The sequence below is a fragment of the Homo sapiens genome, chromosome 17 (assembly GCF_000001405.40).
Source record: "Homo sapiens chromosome 17, GRCh38.p14 Primary Assembly".
In the NCBI taxonomy this organism is placed as follows: Eukaryota; Metazoa; Chordata; class Mammalia; order Primates; family Hominidae; genus Homo; species Homo sapiens.
Window position 1 is genome coordinate 13,819,706 of NC_000017.11, and position 17,661 is coordinate 13,837,366.

General features: G+C 41.7%; 1 long non-coding RNA gene across 3 annotated transcripts in view; it reads right to left on the reverse strand.

The window, feature by feature from the left end:
* The window catches only part of LOC100506974 (uncharacterized), a 108,299-nt gene that overhangs the window by 29,379 nt on the left and 61,259 nt on the right, over positions 1–17,661 (reverse strand). For all 3 annotated transcript variants that reach the window (XR_001752796.1, XR_001752794.1, XR_001752797.1), the window contains one exon: positions 6,793–6,892. This is a non-coding gene — a long non-coding RNA (uncharacterized LOC100506974). The remainder of the gene's footprint in view (positions 1–6,792; positions 6,893–17,661) is intronic.

Below are 17,661 nucleotides of genomic sequence, written 5' to 3' on the forward strand. Positions count from 1 at the left end.
ATGTTTGTTCTACTTGGGGTCCTCAACAGATTGGATGATGCCTCCCCACATTGGTGAGGGTGGGGCTTCTTTACTCACGCCACTGATTCAAATTCTAATCTCTTCTAGAAACACCTGCACAGATACATCCAGAAATAGTGTTTAACCAGCTATCTGGGCATCCCTTAACCCAGTCAAGTAGACAGATAAAATTAACCATCACTATTATTAATTAGCTTTCCCTTTGCTAGTATTTTTATTACCCCTTTAAGCAACCAGATTCTGCTTATAGAAAGCCACAGATATAATTTCCATTTTCTTTAAACTTCCTATGCTAGGCAAAGAATATATTATTATATATTAGTATACATATTATGATATTACATAACATATAATATATAGCCTCTTTTAATATATTGTGGTCTCACAGATTAGTTGAACTTCATGTGAAATTTTATATTAATTATTTAAAGAGCTGCTTTTCATTTTTCTAACAACCCAACGGTAAGCAAGAAGCTGTTTGGCCAACCTTGAAAAAGCTGCTTCTGGAAGTTGAAAGGAATTGCAGTTTAAATTCACAAGGACGATCTCTCCTCTCCTTCCACACATACCCTCCACACACACATACCTTTTATCTTCCTTCCTCTGCTCATATTTGTTAATCTCATTGGCGAATTTTTAATTCTCAAAAACTGACCCTAAGCCCTCTGAAGATACGATTTGTGCCAAAATTGGTTCAAATGCTCTTGACTTTTCTCCACCCAAAGGCAATTATCAGTTCTTGACATGGCACTGAATCCTTGAATTCTTCCCCGACACTTATTACACTGGAAGCTACTCTGCAGAAGGACACTGGCTGCCACTTCATTTGAATCCTTTGCTTTATCCAGTATAGAATCACAAGGTGACCAACTCTTGGTCTAAAAGACTCAGTAGCCAAGGCCACCACAAGACCCGACACCCAATTCTAATGTCAAAGAAGAGGTATCTTTTAAAAATACAAATATGATTTGATCCTTCATTGCTTAAAGCCCTTTGCTCTTGGAATAAATACAGGCCTCCGTAGCTGGACCCAAAAGAGCCCTCATGCTCTTTGATCACATATTCACCATGCTACCCCTCAGCCTCTGAAATCCATTTGCACTGGTCTTATTTCAGTTTCTTGAGCAAGTCATGTACACTTCTATCCCCGCTTGCAAGGAACTCTTCTAACATCCTTCTTTGCCTCATCCTTCAGATCTTGATATACCTCACCTCTTCAGGGAAGCCTCCTTTACTCCAGATAGGTTGAACACCCCTATTATTTGCCTTCATAGTGCCATGTGATTCTCCATTCTAAGCCCTCCCCTCCATTGAAATTTCATATGTGTTTCTGTGCTTTTTGATTAATATCTATCTCCCTTTCCAGAGTAAAAGTTTCATGAAAACCAGAATGGTACTTGCTTCCCTCATCATTACATACCCATCATCAAACACAGTGTGCAAGAAAATGTTTGTTTTCTTGAGTGGCTGAATGAGAGAATTCAATTGGTTGAATGAGAGAATGAATGAGTGGCTAAAAGTGAAAGTCATGGTCTACAAGAGGTAGAGATGGGTAGCTGACAAATGGACCTCATGGTGGTGGTGTAGGGAAATAGGGGAAGCAGGAAGTTGAAATCACCTAGTCAAACACCACCCCACTCTTGTTTTAGAAATGGGTGTCTCACTCTGTCACCCAGGCTGGAGTGTACTGGCATGATCATAGATCACTGCAGCCTCAAATTACTGGGCTTAAGTGATCCTCCCACCTCAGACTCCTGTGTAGTTGGACCATGGGCATATGGCACGATGCCTGGCTTATTAAAAAAATATATATTGTTATAAGACAGGATCTTGTTTTATTGTGCAGGCTGGTCTTGAACTCCTGGCTTCAAGCAATCCTCCCATCTTGGAGTTCCCAAAGTGCTGGGATGACAGGCATGAACCACTGTGCCCAGCCTCCAAGCCTTCTTAACATGGACGCATACAAAGAGTTCAGAGAATCAATGACTCTACTTTAACTGAATATAACATTTTATGTATACATATACCTTGTGGGAACAAAGTCTACCGAATTCATCACAATTTCAAATAGAAGCTGGGCACTGTGGTGCACACCCGTAGTCCCAGCTACTCAGGAGGCTGAGGCAGGAGAATTTCTTGAGGCCAGAAGTTTGAGACTGCAGTGAGCTCTGATCGCAGCTGTGAATAGCCACTATTACACTCCAGCCTGGGCAACATAGCAAAATCCTGTCTCTTAAAAAAAATTTCAAATGGGTCTTGATCCTCCAAAAGCATGAAAAACCACTAGTCTAATCCAATTTCTGAACAAGAACTAGATACATGGCCAGAGGTGAAATCAGTGCTTTATCCATTGCACTTTCTTTTTTTTTTTTTTTTTTTTTTTTTTTGAGACAACGTCTCGCTCTGTTGCCCAGGCTGGAGTGCAGTGGTGCGATCTCGGCTCACTGCTGCGACCTCTGCCTCCCAGGTTCAAGTGATTCTCCTGCCTCAGCCTCCTGGGTAGTTGGGACTACAGATGCCTACCACCATGCCCAGCTAATTTTTTGTATTTTTAGTAGAGGCAGGGTTTCACCATGTTAGCCAGGATGGTCTCGATCTCCTGACCTTGTAATCTTCCCACCTCAGCCTCCCAAAGTGCTGTGATTACAGGCATGAGCCACCACATCCGGCCATCCATTGCTCTTTCTATCAAATAACAATAATAGTAATAATTCATATCAAAACATCTTTTAGCCAGCTCCTGATTCTTTGAGATTCCATAGGCAAAATTAACTTTTTGATACCCATGCTGGTTAAGCATCCAATAAAGTGAGAGCTGGCTAGCTGTCCCTCGGCATCCAGCCTCATGGCCCCTTCTTGAATCCTCACTAGCAGATAGCTCTGAAGGTGGCGTGCAGCCTGGGGTGTTTCATCTTTCATTTGCCCCTCATTCCTAGCTAATGAAGCTTCATGCCCTTGTCAGGCCTTGTTTCTACAAGGCTGGACACCTTCTTTTAACAGGACGTACTTGAAAAACAAGATATTTCCCTTTGTACTAGAAACAAATGGTGATTAATGTACTTGTTGTAATTAATCTGTGGTGACAGATTAGCGGGGTAGCAGCAGTTCTTTTGCTGCTCTGGGAACCTTCCTTGATAGGACAGCTGGTGAGAGGGGACACCAAATTCAATTTGTTTCTCATTTGCATACATATGACAACCATCTGTGCTAATAGCACTGCAATGTCTCCATTAGGCCCAGAGCTCGTGTGCTGGCTCTCCCTTTCTCCCATTAGGCCTGGGAGAGGGAGAGCTCACAGCACAAATATTTGTAGAGGAAAAAGGGTGGGCTTGATGGAACACAACCAATTATGTCCCCTCCTAGCAAAGGTCAAACATCCAACATGAGCTAAGATCCTTCTCACCCATGGGAGGGTAATCTTCTTTGAAAAACCCCTACTCCTTTCATCAGAAGGTCTCTACCCTCTCCATCTCAAAGACCCAGTCGAATTATTCACAGCCTATTCCCTATGGTCCAGTCACTCAAACCAGCTTCACTTTGGCAGATATCTTTTCTTTTTTTTAAACTGATACCTTCATTCAAAAAATATTCATGGAATATCAGTCCACTGATCATGCCAGTGTACTCCAGCCTGGGTGACAGAGTGAGACCCCCATCTCTAGAAAAAGAGGGGGTGGTGCTTGACTAGGTGATTTCAACCTCCTGCTTCCCCTGTTTCCCTACATCACTACCATGAGGTCCATTCCTCAACTACCCATCTCTACCTCTTTTAGGCTATGACTCTCAGTTTTAGCCACTCATTCATTCTCTCATTCATTCAACAAACATTTTCCTGTACACTGTCTTTGATGATGGACATGTAATGCTGAGGGAAGCAGATCCCATTCTGGTTTTCATGAAACATTTTACTCTGGAAAGTGGGATGGATATTAATCAAAGTAGCACAGTTTCAGTGGAGAGGAGGGCTTATAAGGGAGATCACACGGCACTATTCGTGCAATAAATATTCATGGAATAGTGCCTGAACTTAGGCACTATTCCAGGTGGAGGAGGAACAGCAGTTAACAAGAGAGAGAAGGTTTTTGTTTTATGAAGTTTACATGATAGTGATGCACGCTGATGATAAACAAATAAACAAGAAAAAATTCATGTAGTGTCATGTCCTAAGCAGAGATTCAAAAAACAGGGTTTCAGATGGTGTGAAATAGGTCATATGTGACGCCACATTAGTTTTGATGCTCAGAGATGTCCTTTCTGAAGAGGCGACGTGCAAGCTGCCATCTGAATGGCAAAGAGGATCCAGCCTGTGAACACCAAGGGAACACACATTTTTCCGGAGGGAGAGAACCGCTAAAATAAAGGCCTCTAGAGAAAGTGAGCTTGACGTGTTGAGTAAGAGGAAGATAGACAGCATGTCTGAAGGGAGGTGGGAGTGATACATCTGCGCTAACTTGCTAGGGCAGCTGCAACAAAGAACCACAAACTGGGGGCTTAAAACAACAGAAATGTATTGTCTCAGAGTTCCGGAGCCTAGAAGTCCAAATCAAGGTGTCCACAGGGCCTTGAAAACTACAGAGGAGAATCCTTCCTTGTCTTTTTTAGCTTCTGGTGTTTGTTAGCAATTCTTGATGCTCCCTGTCTTGTTGATGCACCACTCCAATCTTTGCCTCTGTCATCACATGACTGTCTTCTCCCTGTGTGTTTCTATTTTCTTATAATGACACCAGTCATAATGGATTAACCCCCTGAACCACATGGGGATTTGGAAGCCAGGTAAGGCATGCAGATCATAGTGTAAAAGGAATGATGACATTTAAAGGTTTATTGCAATGAAATGGCATGATCCATTTTATATGTCGGTATCATGTATAGATTGAATGGGGCAGGGCAAGAGGGGAAGGATGAAGGTGAACCACTGAGGAAGTTCATCTTTGGATCTACGTGTCATGGCAGCCTGAACTAGGAAAGTGACAGAAGAGATGGCATAAAGAAGGAGGTTTTGAGATATATTTAAAAGGTAGGATCCATAAACTTTATAATAGGTCAGATATAAGTATTTGGAAAATGAGAAGAATCATGTTCCTATCCTGAACAATTGGCAGGATGGTGCATACTTGCTGGAAGAGGGAATACTTGGGGGAAGGGAACAAGTTTGAAAGAGAAAATCAAATGGTCCATTTTGGACACATTGAGTTACAGACGTTTAAGGGATAGCCACACAGAAATATAAGATCACCTGTTTGAGTACGTGAGTCTAAATGTCAGAGGAAATGCTTGAGATTAAGACAGAAATATGAGCATTATCAGTTTAAAGAGGTTATTTAAAGTTCACGGTGCTGGATGAGATCTCTCCTTAGGGGGATAGAAGATATAGAAAAACAGGACCCAACCCCAAACCCCAGGGAACTCTGTGACCCTCATCTCTTCTTCTGTCCATGCTTGTGCTAGGGGTCCTCACTCCCCATGGTAAGTGCTCGTTCTTATTATGAACAGCTTTGCTCTATGACACATTGCATATGGTGGAAAGACAAGGCAGACCCCTCTCTGTTTCGTGCCTCATTATACACATATTTTATCTCAATTTCCCTTTGTCTTGCTTTTACTCCATGGGGGAAGAGGCTATGTTCGGCATGTCTTCATTTCCACAGACTAGGGATTCTCAAGCCCTCATACTATTGATGTTTTGCACTGGATGATTCTTTGTTGTTGGAGGGCTGTCCTGTGGACTATAAGATGTTTAGCAGCATCCGTGGCCTCCACACACTAGATGCCAGTAGCACCCCCTAGTCATGGCAATTTAAAAATGTCTCCAGATACTGCCAAATGTTTTCTGGGAAGGAGAAGGAGGCAAAATGGACCCCAGTTGAGAGCCATTGCCACAGACATCTCACAGGGCTCCATATACAGGAGAGACACTCAGTAAATAGCTGCCGTTGGCATTGGCAGCAACTATCTCTTGGCACACAGCTTCCTTCTGCCTTCCCCTGTGCACTAAAGGAAATGCATTCTTCATTAAAACCTTGTAAAATAGCCTTGGAATTTCTCATTAGTCTCTGGCCAGACCTCTAGATTCCAGACTCCTTCTTCAGAGTTGAAGACAAATGTTTGAGGGACTAGAATGAGGTGTGAGAGGGTGTCATTCATTCAGCCAGTCAACAAATGGCAAAGTTAAACAATTGAATTAAGAGAGACCTTCCACAGCCAAAGCCTGCTTTGATAAGATAGGGGAGGGAGGTTATTACCTAAGAAAAATTGCTACTCCACATTCCAGTGACTTTGCATCCTAAAGAAAAAGCCATCTTTAGCACAACAGATGTCCTTTTTAAAATTTTATCAGCCAGAAAAATTGAGGGGGAGAATGCAAACCAGACCATTAAAAAGCAATGTAGAGTCTACACAAATTAATACAATGATAGCATAATCAGGTTGAAAATGACATAAAATCAAATGATATGTAGCTGTCCTTATGGTGTATCACAGCTCCTGAAATCTTAAAGAGTAAGTGAAAATACGGGGCCTCCTGCAGCGTGGTGAACATAGCAACCTTTCCCAGTGACTCCCTATACAGCTTTAGCAGCCTTTCTGAAAGCCACTAAGTCAGTCAGAGAAACATTGCAGATAATGCGTATTTGCAAAAGCAGCCCCACTGGAGGACTGCACGAGTCCACACCTGATCATGATCTCCAAATTGAACCACTTTTGCTGTCAAGTAGAGACGTAGAACATTGAAACCAGGTTAAAAAACAAAACAAATAAACAAAACTGTAAAACCTGATCCACTGGCTGCTCGTCTCTTTTCCCCTGAACCCCATCTAGGTCGGTCCTGAAAGGTCTTCCACGGTAGAGATGAAAAGGGTGGCTGGACCACTTCCTGTGCAGAAAAGAGTCTTGGGTTAGCCCTGATGCTTCTGTGACATGAATTCAAAGGGGGAGAAAATTAGAAAGGAAAAGAAAGATGTTCCCAACAAAGGGCTTTCAGAAAACAACCTTGTGTGAAGAAATCAAAGTGTTCTGATTATCAATAGCAGCATAACAACCCACCCCAAAATGAAACAACAATTTATTATTGTTGTTGCTAAAGAAATGACAATTTATTATTTTTTATTCTGTAGGTTTTTTACTTCTTTTGTTGTTGGCTGGGGTATTAGAATGACTGGAAAATCCAAATTGGCCACATTCCCATGGCTAGCAATTTATGCTCACTGCTAACTGTAAGCTCAGAAGGAGCTGCTGGTGGAGGTTCTTGGTTCTCCTCTATGGACACCTTTCCACATATCTGTTTGGTCTTCCTCACAACATGGCACCTTCTTTCCAAGAAGAAGCATTCAAGAAGAAGGAAGTAGAAATTGCCAATCTCTTAAAACCTGAGCTTGAAAGTATTGGGATGTAACTTTAACTATATTCTATCGGTGAAAAGCAGTCACAGGGCCAGCCTAGATTCAAGACGAAGGAACATAAGCTTTCTTGTGATGTAAGGAGTAGCATATACACAGTGGGAAGGCTGCCTTTGGAGGGTAATAGTCATAATAAACTTGTCATTTGACTCCACATCTTACCACTCTGGGGGTATTTCTATGCTCTTGATCCATATTTGTGTTTCTTTCTCTAAAGCACTGTCATATTGCAAGAGCAACGGATGAGAAAGAGATGACTTGCCCTCCTGCAATTACATATATGTGTATGTGTTGATCATATATACCTATATGAATTGAAAGAGTCATCAGAAGCCTGGAAAGAATGACTTGCTTCATGCTAGCTTTTGGTTTTGAATACCAATTATTCCCCATGTTGTTATGACAAGGACATATATAGAAAATGTGCAAGAGCCATCTCTTTAATCAAGTTTTTTTTTTTAATTTTAAGTTCTGGGATACAGGTGCAGAACGTGCAGGTTTGTTACATAGGTATACATGTGCCATGGTGGTTTGCTGCACCTATCAACCTGTCATCTAGGTTTTAAGCCCCACATGCATTAGGCATTTGTCCTAATGCTCTCCCTCTCCTTGTCCCCCACCCCCCGACAGGCCCCAGTGTGTGATGTCCCCTCCCTGTGTCCATGTGTTCTCATTGTTCATCTCCCGCTTATGAGTGAGAAAGTGCAGTGTTTTGTTTTCTGTTTCTGTGTTAGTTTGCTGAGAATAATGGTTTCCAGCTTCATCCATGTCCCTGCAAAAGACATGAACTCATTCTTTTTTATGGCTGCATAGTATTCCATGGTGTATATGTGCCACATTTTCTTTATCCAGTCTATCTTTGATGGGCATTTGGGTTGGTTCCAAGTCTTTGCTGTTGCAAATAGTGCTGCAATAAACACACATGTGTATGTTTCTTTATAGTAGAATGATTTATAATCCTTTGGGTATATACCAAGTAATGGGATTGCTGGGTCAAATGATATTTTTGTTTCCAGATCCTTGAGGAATCACTACACTGTCTTCCACAATGGCTGAGCTAATTTACACCCCCACCAATGGTGTAAAAGCATTCCTATTTCTCTATGTAATCAAGTTTTTAAGAAACCTAATTCCTACTTCATCTTCTGATATTAAGTAACTAATACCTAAGTAAACAGTTGGCTCTCTTTTTAAAAAAATACTTACTTTATAAGCCCAGGACAAAATTAAATGACAGAATATGAGATTTCTTTTAATATAGTAAATGTTCAAAAATATCAGATGATGATGAGGATGATTAAAATTGCTACCACAGAGTCTGATGTAGTAGGTGCTTAATTAATGACAGCTAATATTTTGAAGAGAAGCTCTTTTAGAGGAAGGAATGGTGAAGGAAGAGGGTACAACCATTTGAATGAGGAGAGAGGAATGTGAGGGCGAAGAAGCTTGGGGTCAGGAGAAGGGCGACACTCAGTGTCTCGAGAGGCATTTGACAGAGCTGTCTTTAATACCAAATTATCAGAGACAGTTTTGGGATTTTCCCTGGCACAGAAATGCATTCCCCTTGAGCCCTCGAATAAATACTTAGAAGGTTAAAGGTCAGTTCATTAATCTCCTCACTTGCCCATTTGTTTGGACATACAGATGCTCTGTTGTTAAGGCAATCTGAGCAGACAGGAAAAAGTGTGGACTCTCATCCACTTCGATACTGTCCCACGTTGGATGGAGGTGTGTGCAAGAGAAAACATTTGTTTTAAATTTAATTCTGTGCTTTTCAAAACTGTAATGAAAATTGGAAAGTTGTGACTTGGTTCAGTTCCTTTCCAGGGTTTGTTTATGAAACTTGCCTTCTAGTTCACATTTGAACAAATTTTCTTTGCTAAGAAAATTCTTATTTTCCTCAATGACCCAAAGTCTGTCAAGCAAGAGCAATGTAAGTTCCTACCTGCCCCTTTGTACCAGTGCTACCCTACTGCTTTACACAAATTCAACACATCTCCAAGCTTCTGAGGGCCTTGGGGAAGCCTCATTCTTAGAGATATTGAAAGAAAAGCAGAGAGAGATTTATACTTTTTTTTTTTTTGACAGAGTCTCGCTTTGTCACCAGGCTGGAGTGCAGTGGCGCAATCTCGGCTCACTGCAACCTCCGTCTCCCAGGTTCAAGCAATTCTCCTGCCTCAGCCTCCCGAGTAGCTGGGACTATAGGCGCGTGCCACCACACCTGGCTAATTTTTTAATTTTTAGTAGAGACGGGGTTTCACCATGTTGGCCAGGATGGTCTTGATCTCTTGACCTCGTGATCCACCCGCCTCAGCCTCCCAAAGTGCTGGGATTACAGGCATGAGCCACCACGTCAGGCAAGACTTATACTTTCTAATGAGGTGTAATGAGGGAAATTTTGACTAAAGTTATCTCCGCTCGACTCCGCATCATTTTTTTAAATGGCCAATAAACATTTTTTTAATTTTGATTCAAATGACAAATGACTTATCCTGAAAATGGTCAGCTGTCTCAGAGACATTCTGGAATGGAAAGAAAGCCTCGGGAAAGAGCTGATGTGACTTGCTAAAAGTCACTTCTATAGACAATAGAATAAATATTGTCTATCGAATAATAGACAATATAGACTTCTATAGACAATAGAATAAATAAAGAAGGCAAATTGTGTATGATTACCATCTACTTGCATGAGGGTGTGGCAGGCTGACTTTAAGGTGATTCCCCCATTATCTTTACCTCTTGATGTTCCCACCTTTGTGCAGTTCTCTCCTCTTGGGTGTGGGTAGGACCAATGGCTTGCTTCTGAGCAATGGAATATAGCAAATGTAATGGGATGTCATTCCCATGATTATGGTATGTTATAAAATACTCTGTATTATTAGCAGATTTATCCTAGAGGCTCTCCTTGCTGGATTCATGAAGGAAGCAGCCGTGTTGGGAAAGCCCACATGGTTTAGAAGTATGAGTGCTTTCTAAGTATGGGTGGTCTCTAAGAACCATAGGTGTCCTCCAAGAAAATACAGGCAGCAGACTCTAGGAGCTGAGAGCAGCCTCCGGCCAAGGAAAAAGCTAGAGCCTCAGTCCCCCAACCACAAGGAAATGAAATGATACAAAGAACCTCAGAGAGCTGGGAAGTGGCTTCTTTCCCAGCTGAGAAGTGGTTTCTTCCCCAGTCTGTCTTTCAGGAAAATATGTCCTGGCTGACACCTTGATTACACCCTTGTTGGATACTAAGCAGAGGAGCCAACTAAGCTGTGCCTGGACTTCTACCCATAGAAACTATGGGATAATCAGTGTGTGTTGTTTTAAGCCACTAAGTTTGTACTAATATGTTACACCGTAATAGAAGAATAATACAGGGGTCCTTTCCTGGGTGATAGCATTCTCTGGCATCCTACTATCATCTTCCATGAAGACATTTGGGACTACTTAGAGAAAAACTCAGGGTTCCTTCTGGTATTCCTTATCAATCCCAAAATTTCCCCATATTTCTTAAAATGAGGGGACTTAAAAATGAGTCTCCATAGCCAGGCACAGTGGCTCACGCCTGTAATCCCAGCACTTTGGGAAGCCAAGGTGGATGGATTACCTGAGGTCAGGAGTTTGAGACCAGCCTGACCAACATGGAGAAACCACATCTCTACTAAAAATACAAAATTGGCTGGGTATGGTGACACATGTCTGTAATCCCAGCTACTCGGGAGGCTGAGGCAGGAGAATCACTTGAATCTGGGAGGCAGAGGTTGCAGTGAGTCAAGATCGCGCCATTGCACTCCAGCCTGGGCGACAAGAGTTAAACTCCGTTTCAAAAAAAAAAAAATGAGTCCTCATATTTCCTACCTCAATATGACTGTGACTCTCAACCAAAATGTATTATTAATGTCTCACATATATATATATTCATTTATAATTGTATTTTATTGTTTCATTTGTTGCTTCATCTCTGTTTATCAGACACCCAAACACAGTCATTATTAGTAAAAATTAGTTGATGTTTTAGTACCATATTAAAATATCTACAACTCTACTTTCACCAGAATGTTTTTAAATTTAAAAACAAAAATTGAATCACAATTTATAAATTTAGAGAAAAAATGCATTCTAGGAGTTCTTTGTTCTCACTTTCTCATTTTACAAATAAGAAAGATGACACCCTCCAAAAATTAATAATGTGCGAAGCCTAGACAAACAGTTATTGTCAAAATGGGACAAGAATGAAATTTACATTGATAGGGCATCTGCAATGTTCAAGGCACTGTGATAAATACTTCTGTGTTACCACTTCATCCTTAACAGTTTTGTAAAGTATGCATTGCTTTCCCCATGGCAGGGTACCCTTCTAGAGATTATTTTTTTCTTTATTTTTCAATGAGAAAGGTGCCTTAAATTAACTAATTGAAGACTCCCTTAGAAAGTGGGGACCAGGAAGGTACAATGGAGGGTCAGAACACATTAGAAACATGGAGGTGATTGCACTTAGAAGAGTGAATATAGGGCTAGTAGTCCCATTTTCCAGGCAAAGCTGTATAAAACTAGCCCCTTTTAGAGATGTAAAAGCAACCTGTGATCAATCCCTTGTAGAGAAGCTTTAGTTTAAAAATACTGAGTTCAGAGAATATGGGCCCAAAATTCAGGACAACAACATATTTTAATTTTTTTTTTTTTTTCTTGAGACAGAGTCTTGCTCTGTCGCCCAGGCTAGAATGCAGTGCTGCAATGTTGGCTCACTGCAACCTCCGCCTCCTGGGTTCAAGCAATTCTCCTGCCTCAGCCTCCAGAATAGATGAGACTACAGGTGCAAGCCACCATGCCCAGCCAATTTTTGTATTTTTATTAGAGACAGGGTTTCTCCATATTGGCTAGGCTGCTCTCGAACTCCTGACCTCGTGATCCATCCGCCTCAGCCTCCCAAAGTGCTGGGATTACAGGCGTGAGCCAAGGGCTTAAAAGATACATTGCCCATCTCCCCAGGGAAGACTGGTAGAGGAATACAGGACACTGACCCTATATCTGTGATTTCGGGCATAACTGATTCAACCATGAACCAGCTAGCTGTTTGCATCAGTTATCTATTGCTGCATAACAAACCACCCCCAAAACTTAGTGGCTTAGAACAAACACCATTTATATAGCTCATGATTCTATGGGTCAGCTGAGTAGGTCTTCTGGTCTGATCCAGCTCAGTTACTGTCTGCTGGCCTTGCTCAGACATCCCTGGTCTGCTGGCAGGTCAGTTGGATGATCTAGGATAATGTGGTAGGCAGAATAAGGGTCCCCAGAAATGTCCATGAATTAATCCTCAGAACTTATAAATATGTTATCTTACATGGCAAAAAATACTTTGTAGATGTGATGAAGAGTGTAGACCTTGAGATGGAAGATCATCCTGGATTATCTGGGTGGACCCAGTCTAATCACACAAGTCCTTAAAAACAGAGGACCTTTTCCAACTGGGTGTAAGAAATGGGAAGGAAGAAGGAGGAGGAGAGATTCAAAGCATGAGAAGATATGACCTGCCATTATCAATTTGGAAGCGAGAACAAGAGAGATTTAAGCCAAGGAGTATGGGTAGATTTTCAAAGTTGAAACGATCATCACTTGACAACCAGCAAGAAAATAAAGATCTCAACCATACAACTACAAGAAACTGATTTCTCCCAACAACCCAAATAAGCAAGGAATGCCCATTCTTACCTGGATTGGGGATGGGAAAAAATGTATATTTATCAAACCAGGAGTACTGGGATGAATTCTTTCAAAGACTGTTTGAGTCCCTATGCAGATCTTTCCAGCTAAGATGTAGGGATAAGAAGATTTAATTAATATAGTGGTTTACAGCATGGGCTTCATGGTAGGCAGATATCACTCCCCTGCAAAGGTTCATGTCCTAATCCCCAGAAGCTGTATGTTACATGAAATAGAAAAGGAGAATTAGGCCCAGCGTGGTAGCTCATGCCTATAATTCCAGCACTTTAGGAGGCTGAGGCAGGCGGATCACGAGGCCAAGAGATCACGACCATCCTGGCCAACATGGTGAAACCCTGTCTCTACTAAAAATACAAAAATTAGCTGGGTATGGTGGCACACACCTGTAGTTCCAGCTACTTGGGAGGCTGAGGCAGGAGAATCGCTTGAACCTGGGAGGCAGAGGTTGCAGTGAGCTGAGATCGTGTCACTGCACTCCAGCCTGGAGACAGAGCGAGACTCTGTCTCAAAGAAAAAAGAAAAGAAAAGGAGAATCAAAATTGCATATGGATAGATTTCTAATCAGCTAATCTTAAAATAAGGATATTATCCCAGATTACCCAAGGGGGCTCAATATAATTACAAGGAACTTTAAACATGGAAGAAAGGGGCAGAAGTGTCAATGTCAGAGTTGTGCTATGGGAATGAGATGAGCAGACACCGCTTGCTTTGAAGATAAAGGAACGGACCATGGACCAAGGGAAGCAGGTGGCCTCAAGATGGAAAGGGGCAAGGAAATGGATTCTCCCCCAGAGCCTCCAGAAGGAATGCAGCTCTGCCAATGCCTTGATTGTAGCCCAGTAAGAACCATGTTGGACTACTGACCTGCAGATCTGTAAAATAATACATGTGCGCTATTTAAGCTGCTAAGCTTGTGGTATTTTTCTTTTTAATGGCAGCAATAGAAAACGAATGCAAGAGCATCTCATTCACATATCTGGTGGCTGGAAGATTTGTTGATCAGGGAACTTCAACTCTCATGGCCCCTCAACTCCAACAAGCAGGTCTGAGCTTCTTCCCGTAATAGGCTCAAGGATCCAAAATCCAGAAATAGAGGACACATTTTCATTTCCAAATGCTTTTACATCTCCTCTTTAGCCATGTTTATTACTGTTTGACTGCTCAAAGGCGGTCTTAAGGCTAGTCTAGATTCAGGAGAGGAAAAATAGACTCCACCTCTTGATGAGAGAAGCTGCAATCTAACAAGCAAGGGCAAGGGAGTGGGAGGAGAAATATTTGTGGTCATCTTGTAATCTACTGCATGATCTGAGAAGGAGCCCAGTGTGTGAACCAAAAACACCTGCTAGGGAAAGGCATCATTCCAGTTTCTGCATCTAGGGTGGAATGGAAGACTGAGTTTCACTGTACATCTAGGACTTAACGACAGCATTGACTCTGCTCCCAGTGCTTCTCATACTATGGCCAAAACAAGAAACAGTGCCCTTTCCCTACCTTCTTCTCCCTCAGCCCCTAAATGCAGGAAGCATCATGCTAACATTTCCCAGAGACCTGTCAGTCCAAGGAGATGTCTGACCACATATAGTGGGAATTGTTACAAACTTGCTGTGAATATCACCTAGGGAGAGGGCCCAGGATTCCACCTTCTGGTGATGAACATGCAGAGGCATGAGGATCACACCCTGAAATGTGGAGACACCCATATATTCCAGTTTTACGGATAAAGAAATTGAAGTTTTGAAGAAATGAAACCATTTGCTGAAAGCCACATCATGGCAGAACTGAGCTAGATCCCAGAAATATGGACTATTGGGAGGCAGCAAAATATAGGAAGGCAAACAGAAACCTTGGAGATACACACACTGCAATCCGACACTGCTGATTACCAATAAACACCCTTCCCTTCCTCTACCTCCCTGCGTGGCAGAATTTCAATTTCATTTCAATTTCCACTCCTCTCCCTATGGTTCCAGGAAGGGCGGCCCCTACCCCAAGTTTGAGGAATAAATCTCAGTTCAGCTAAGCCAGTGATAGTGGCCCTATTCCTTTTGTCTATAATTACAGTTGATCCATGAACAACACAGGTTTGAACTGCATGGGTCCAATTATACACAGATTTTCTTCCGCCTCCACCAATGCTGAGAGAGCAAGATCAACCCCTCCTTGTCATCCTTCTCCTGAGCCTATTCAATGTGAAAACAACAAGGATGAAGACCTTTACAATGGTCTATGTCCACTTAGTGAATAGGCAATATATTTTTTCTTCCTTTTAATTTTCTTAGTAACATTTTCTTTTCTTTAGCTTTTACTGTAAAAATACAGTATATAATGCATATAACATATAAAATATGTGTTAATTGACTATTATGTTATTGGTAAGGCTTCCAGTCAACAGTAGGATATTAGTGGTTAAGTTATACACCAAGTTTTGACTGTGCAGAGATCGGCACCACCAAACCACAGCATTGTCGAAGGGCCAAATGCAGCTTAGCCATGAGCATGGGCAGTACTGGCTCTATGGGCATGCAGCCAGTCCATGCTGAGTCTTGTGCCCAGAAGGACCTAATGTTTCATTCAATGCTTGTCATCATCCTAAAATTCTTAGTAACTGTTGAACAAGAGATCCTGAATTTAATTTTGCACTGAGCCCTGCAAATTATGTAACTGTTCCTAAGCATATGGTGCAATTCTGTTGAAAATGACATGGGGAAGCTTGTTGGAGAACTTTTAATAAATATTTTCTTTGTTGTTATTGACAGGAAACATACACATGCACATATACACGCACAAAGACACGGCCTTCTTCTTACGCATGCAATGCCTGGAACTCCTGCAGCCATCTTGCACCCTTGAGCAAAACAAAGCTTACAAGCTTGACAGAGCAGAAAGTTGGAAAGAACCTAAATTCTGATGATGCCACTGAGCTGCTGAATGAATGAGCCTTTGAGTGTTTTGTCATGTGAGATAATAAACCTTCTGCTTTGTTTTTACCATTTGAGATGGAATTTTCCTTAAAGATTTTGCAGAATACATGTAATCGACAAGTATTAACTAGATGACTTTGAGAATGGTATTTGACTTTGGTGAGCATATTTTCCTATCTATAAAATAAGAGCAATGCCACCTCACACACATGTTGTGAGAAATAAATAATATTTGGCACACGACAGGTGAATTAGTTCATTCTTGCACTGCTATAAAGAAATACCCGAGACTGGGTGATTTATTTAAAAAAGAAACAAGAGGTTTAATTGGCTCACGGCTCCACAGGCTGTACAGGAAGCATGATGCTGGCATCTGCTCAGCTTCTGGCAGAAGGCAAAAAGGAATCACGGAAAAGGCAAAAGGGAAGCACGCTCCTCTTACCTGGCCAGAGCAGGAGCAAAAGAGAGAGGGGACAGGGAGGTGCTATGCACTTTTAAACAAGCAGATCTCACAAGAACTCACTCGCTATCATGAGAACAGCACCAAGGGGGATGGCGTTTAACCATTCATAAGAAACCATTCCCATGATTCAGTCACCTCCCACTAGGCCCTGCCTTCAACAGTGGGGATTACAATTCACCATGAGATCTGGCCAAGGACACAGATTCAAAACATATCAGCAAGGAACAGTCCAATGATGGTAGTAATAGTGATTGTCATTGTGTTGTTATTATTGCAGTTCCTAGCCCAGTGCTATTATTCATCATAACTTACAACCTACCCCCATTCCTACCCTATTTTAAATATATTTTAGTTCACCATTCATAGGCCACTTAAATATATATTCACTCACAAGGAAAGCACTTCAGTTAAGAAAATTCTATATAGTGCCTATGAGTCACGTGAATGCCAATTATGAAAGCTGCTTAGTTCATGTCTGTATGTGCGCTCCACTAAACCAGCTCATTTATCCCATACCTGAACCAGGAACTATCAAAAGTAAACTTAGATATTCACATAACAATATATTTCTCAAACTCATAATACTTAGTGAAAAAAAGTTGTAAACTGATATGTATTATATACCGCACGTTGCCCTTAAATGAATGTAAAATGATCATAATGACTTCTGCTTCTGGGAGGATGAAGTAAATGTATTTTTTCCTATTCTTCCCACTAAGTACAACTTAAAAAAAAAAACACTGGATGTTAGATCTAAAGCTAACATATAAAAAGACTTTGAAAGGTGAAGAGAAGGAGGTCAACAGCCTAGTGGCTGTTGGAACCAGAAGAATGGCATGGTGGTGGATTCCATAGCTTTTTTTTTTTTTTTGAGATGGAGTCTCCCTCTGTCACCAGGCTGGAGTGCAATGGTGTGATCTCGGCTCACTGCAACCTCTGCCTCCTGGGTTCAAGAGATTCTCCTGCCTCAGCCTCCCAAGTAGCTGGGACTACAGGTGCATGCCACCACACCTTGTATTTTTAGTAGAGACGGGGTTTCACCATGTTGACCAGAATGATCTCGATCTCCTGACCTGGTGATCTGCCCACCTTGGCCTCCCAAAGTGCTGGGATTACAGGCGTGAGCCACCGCGCCCAGCCCATAGGTTTTCTTTTT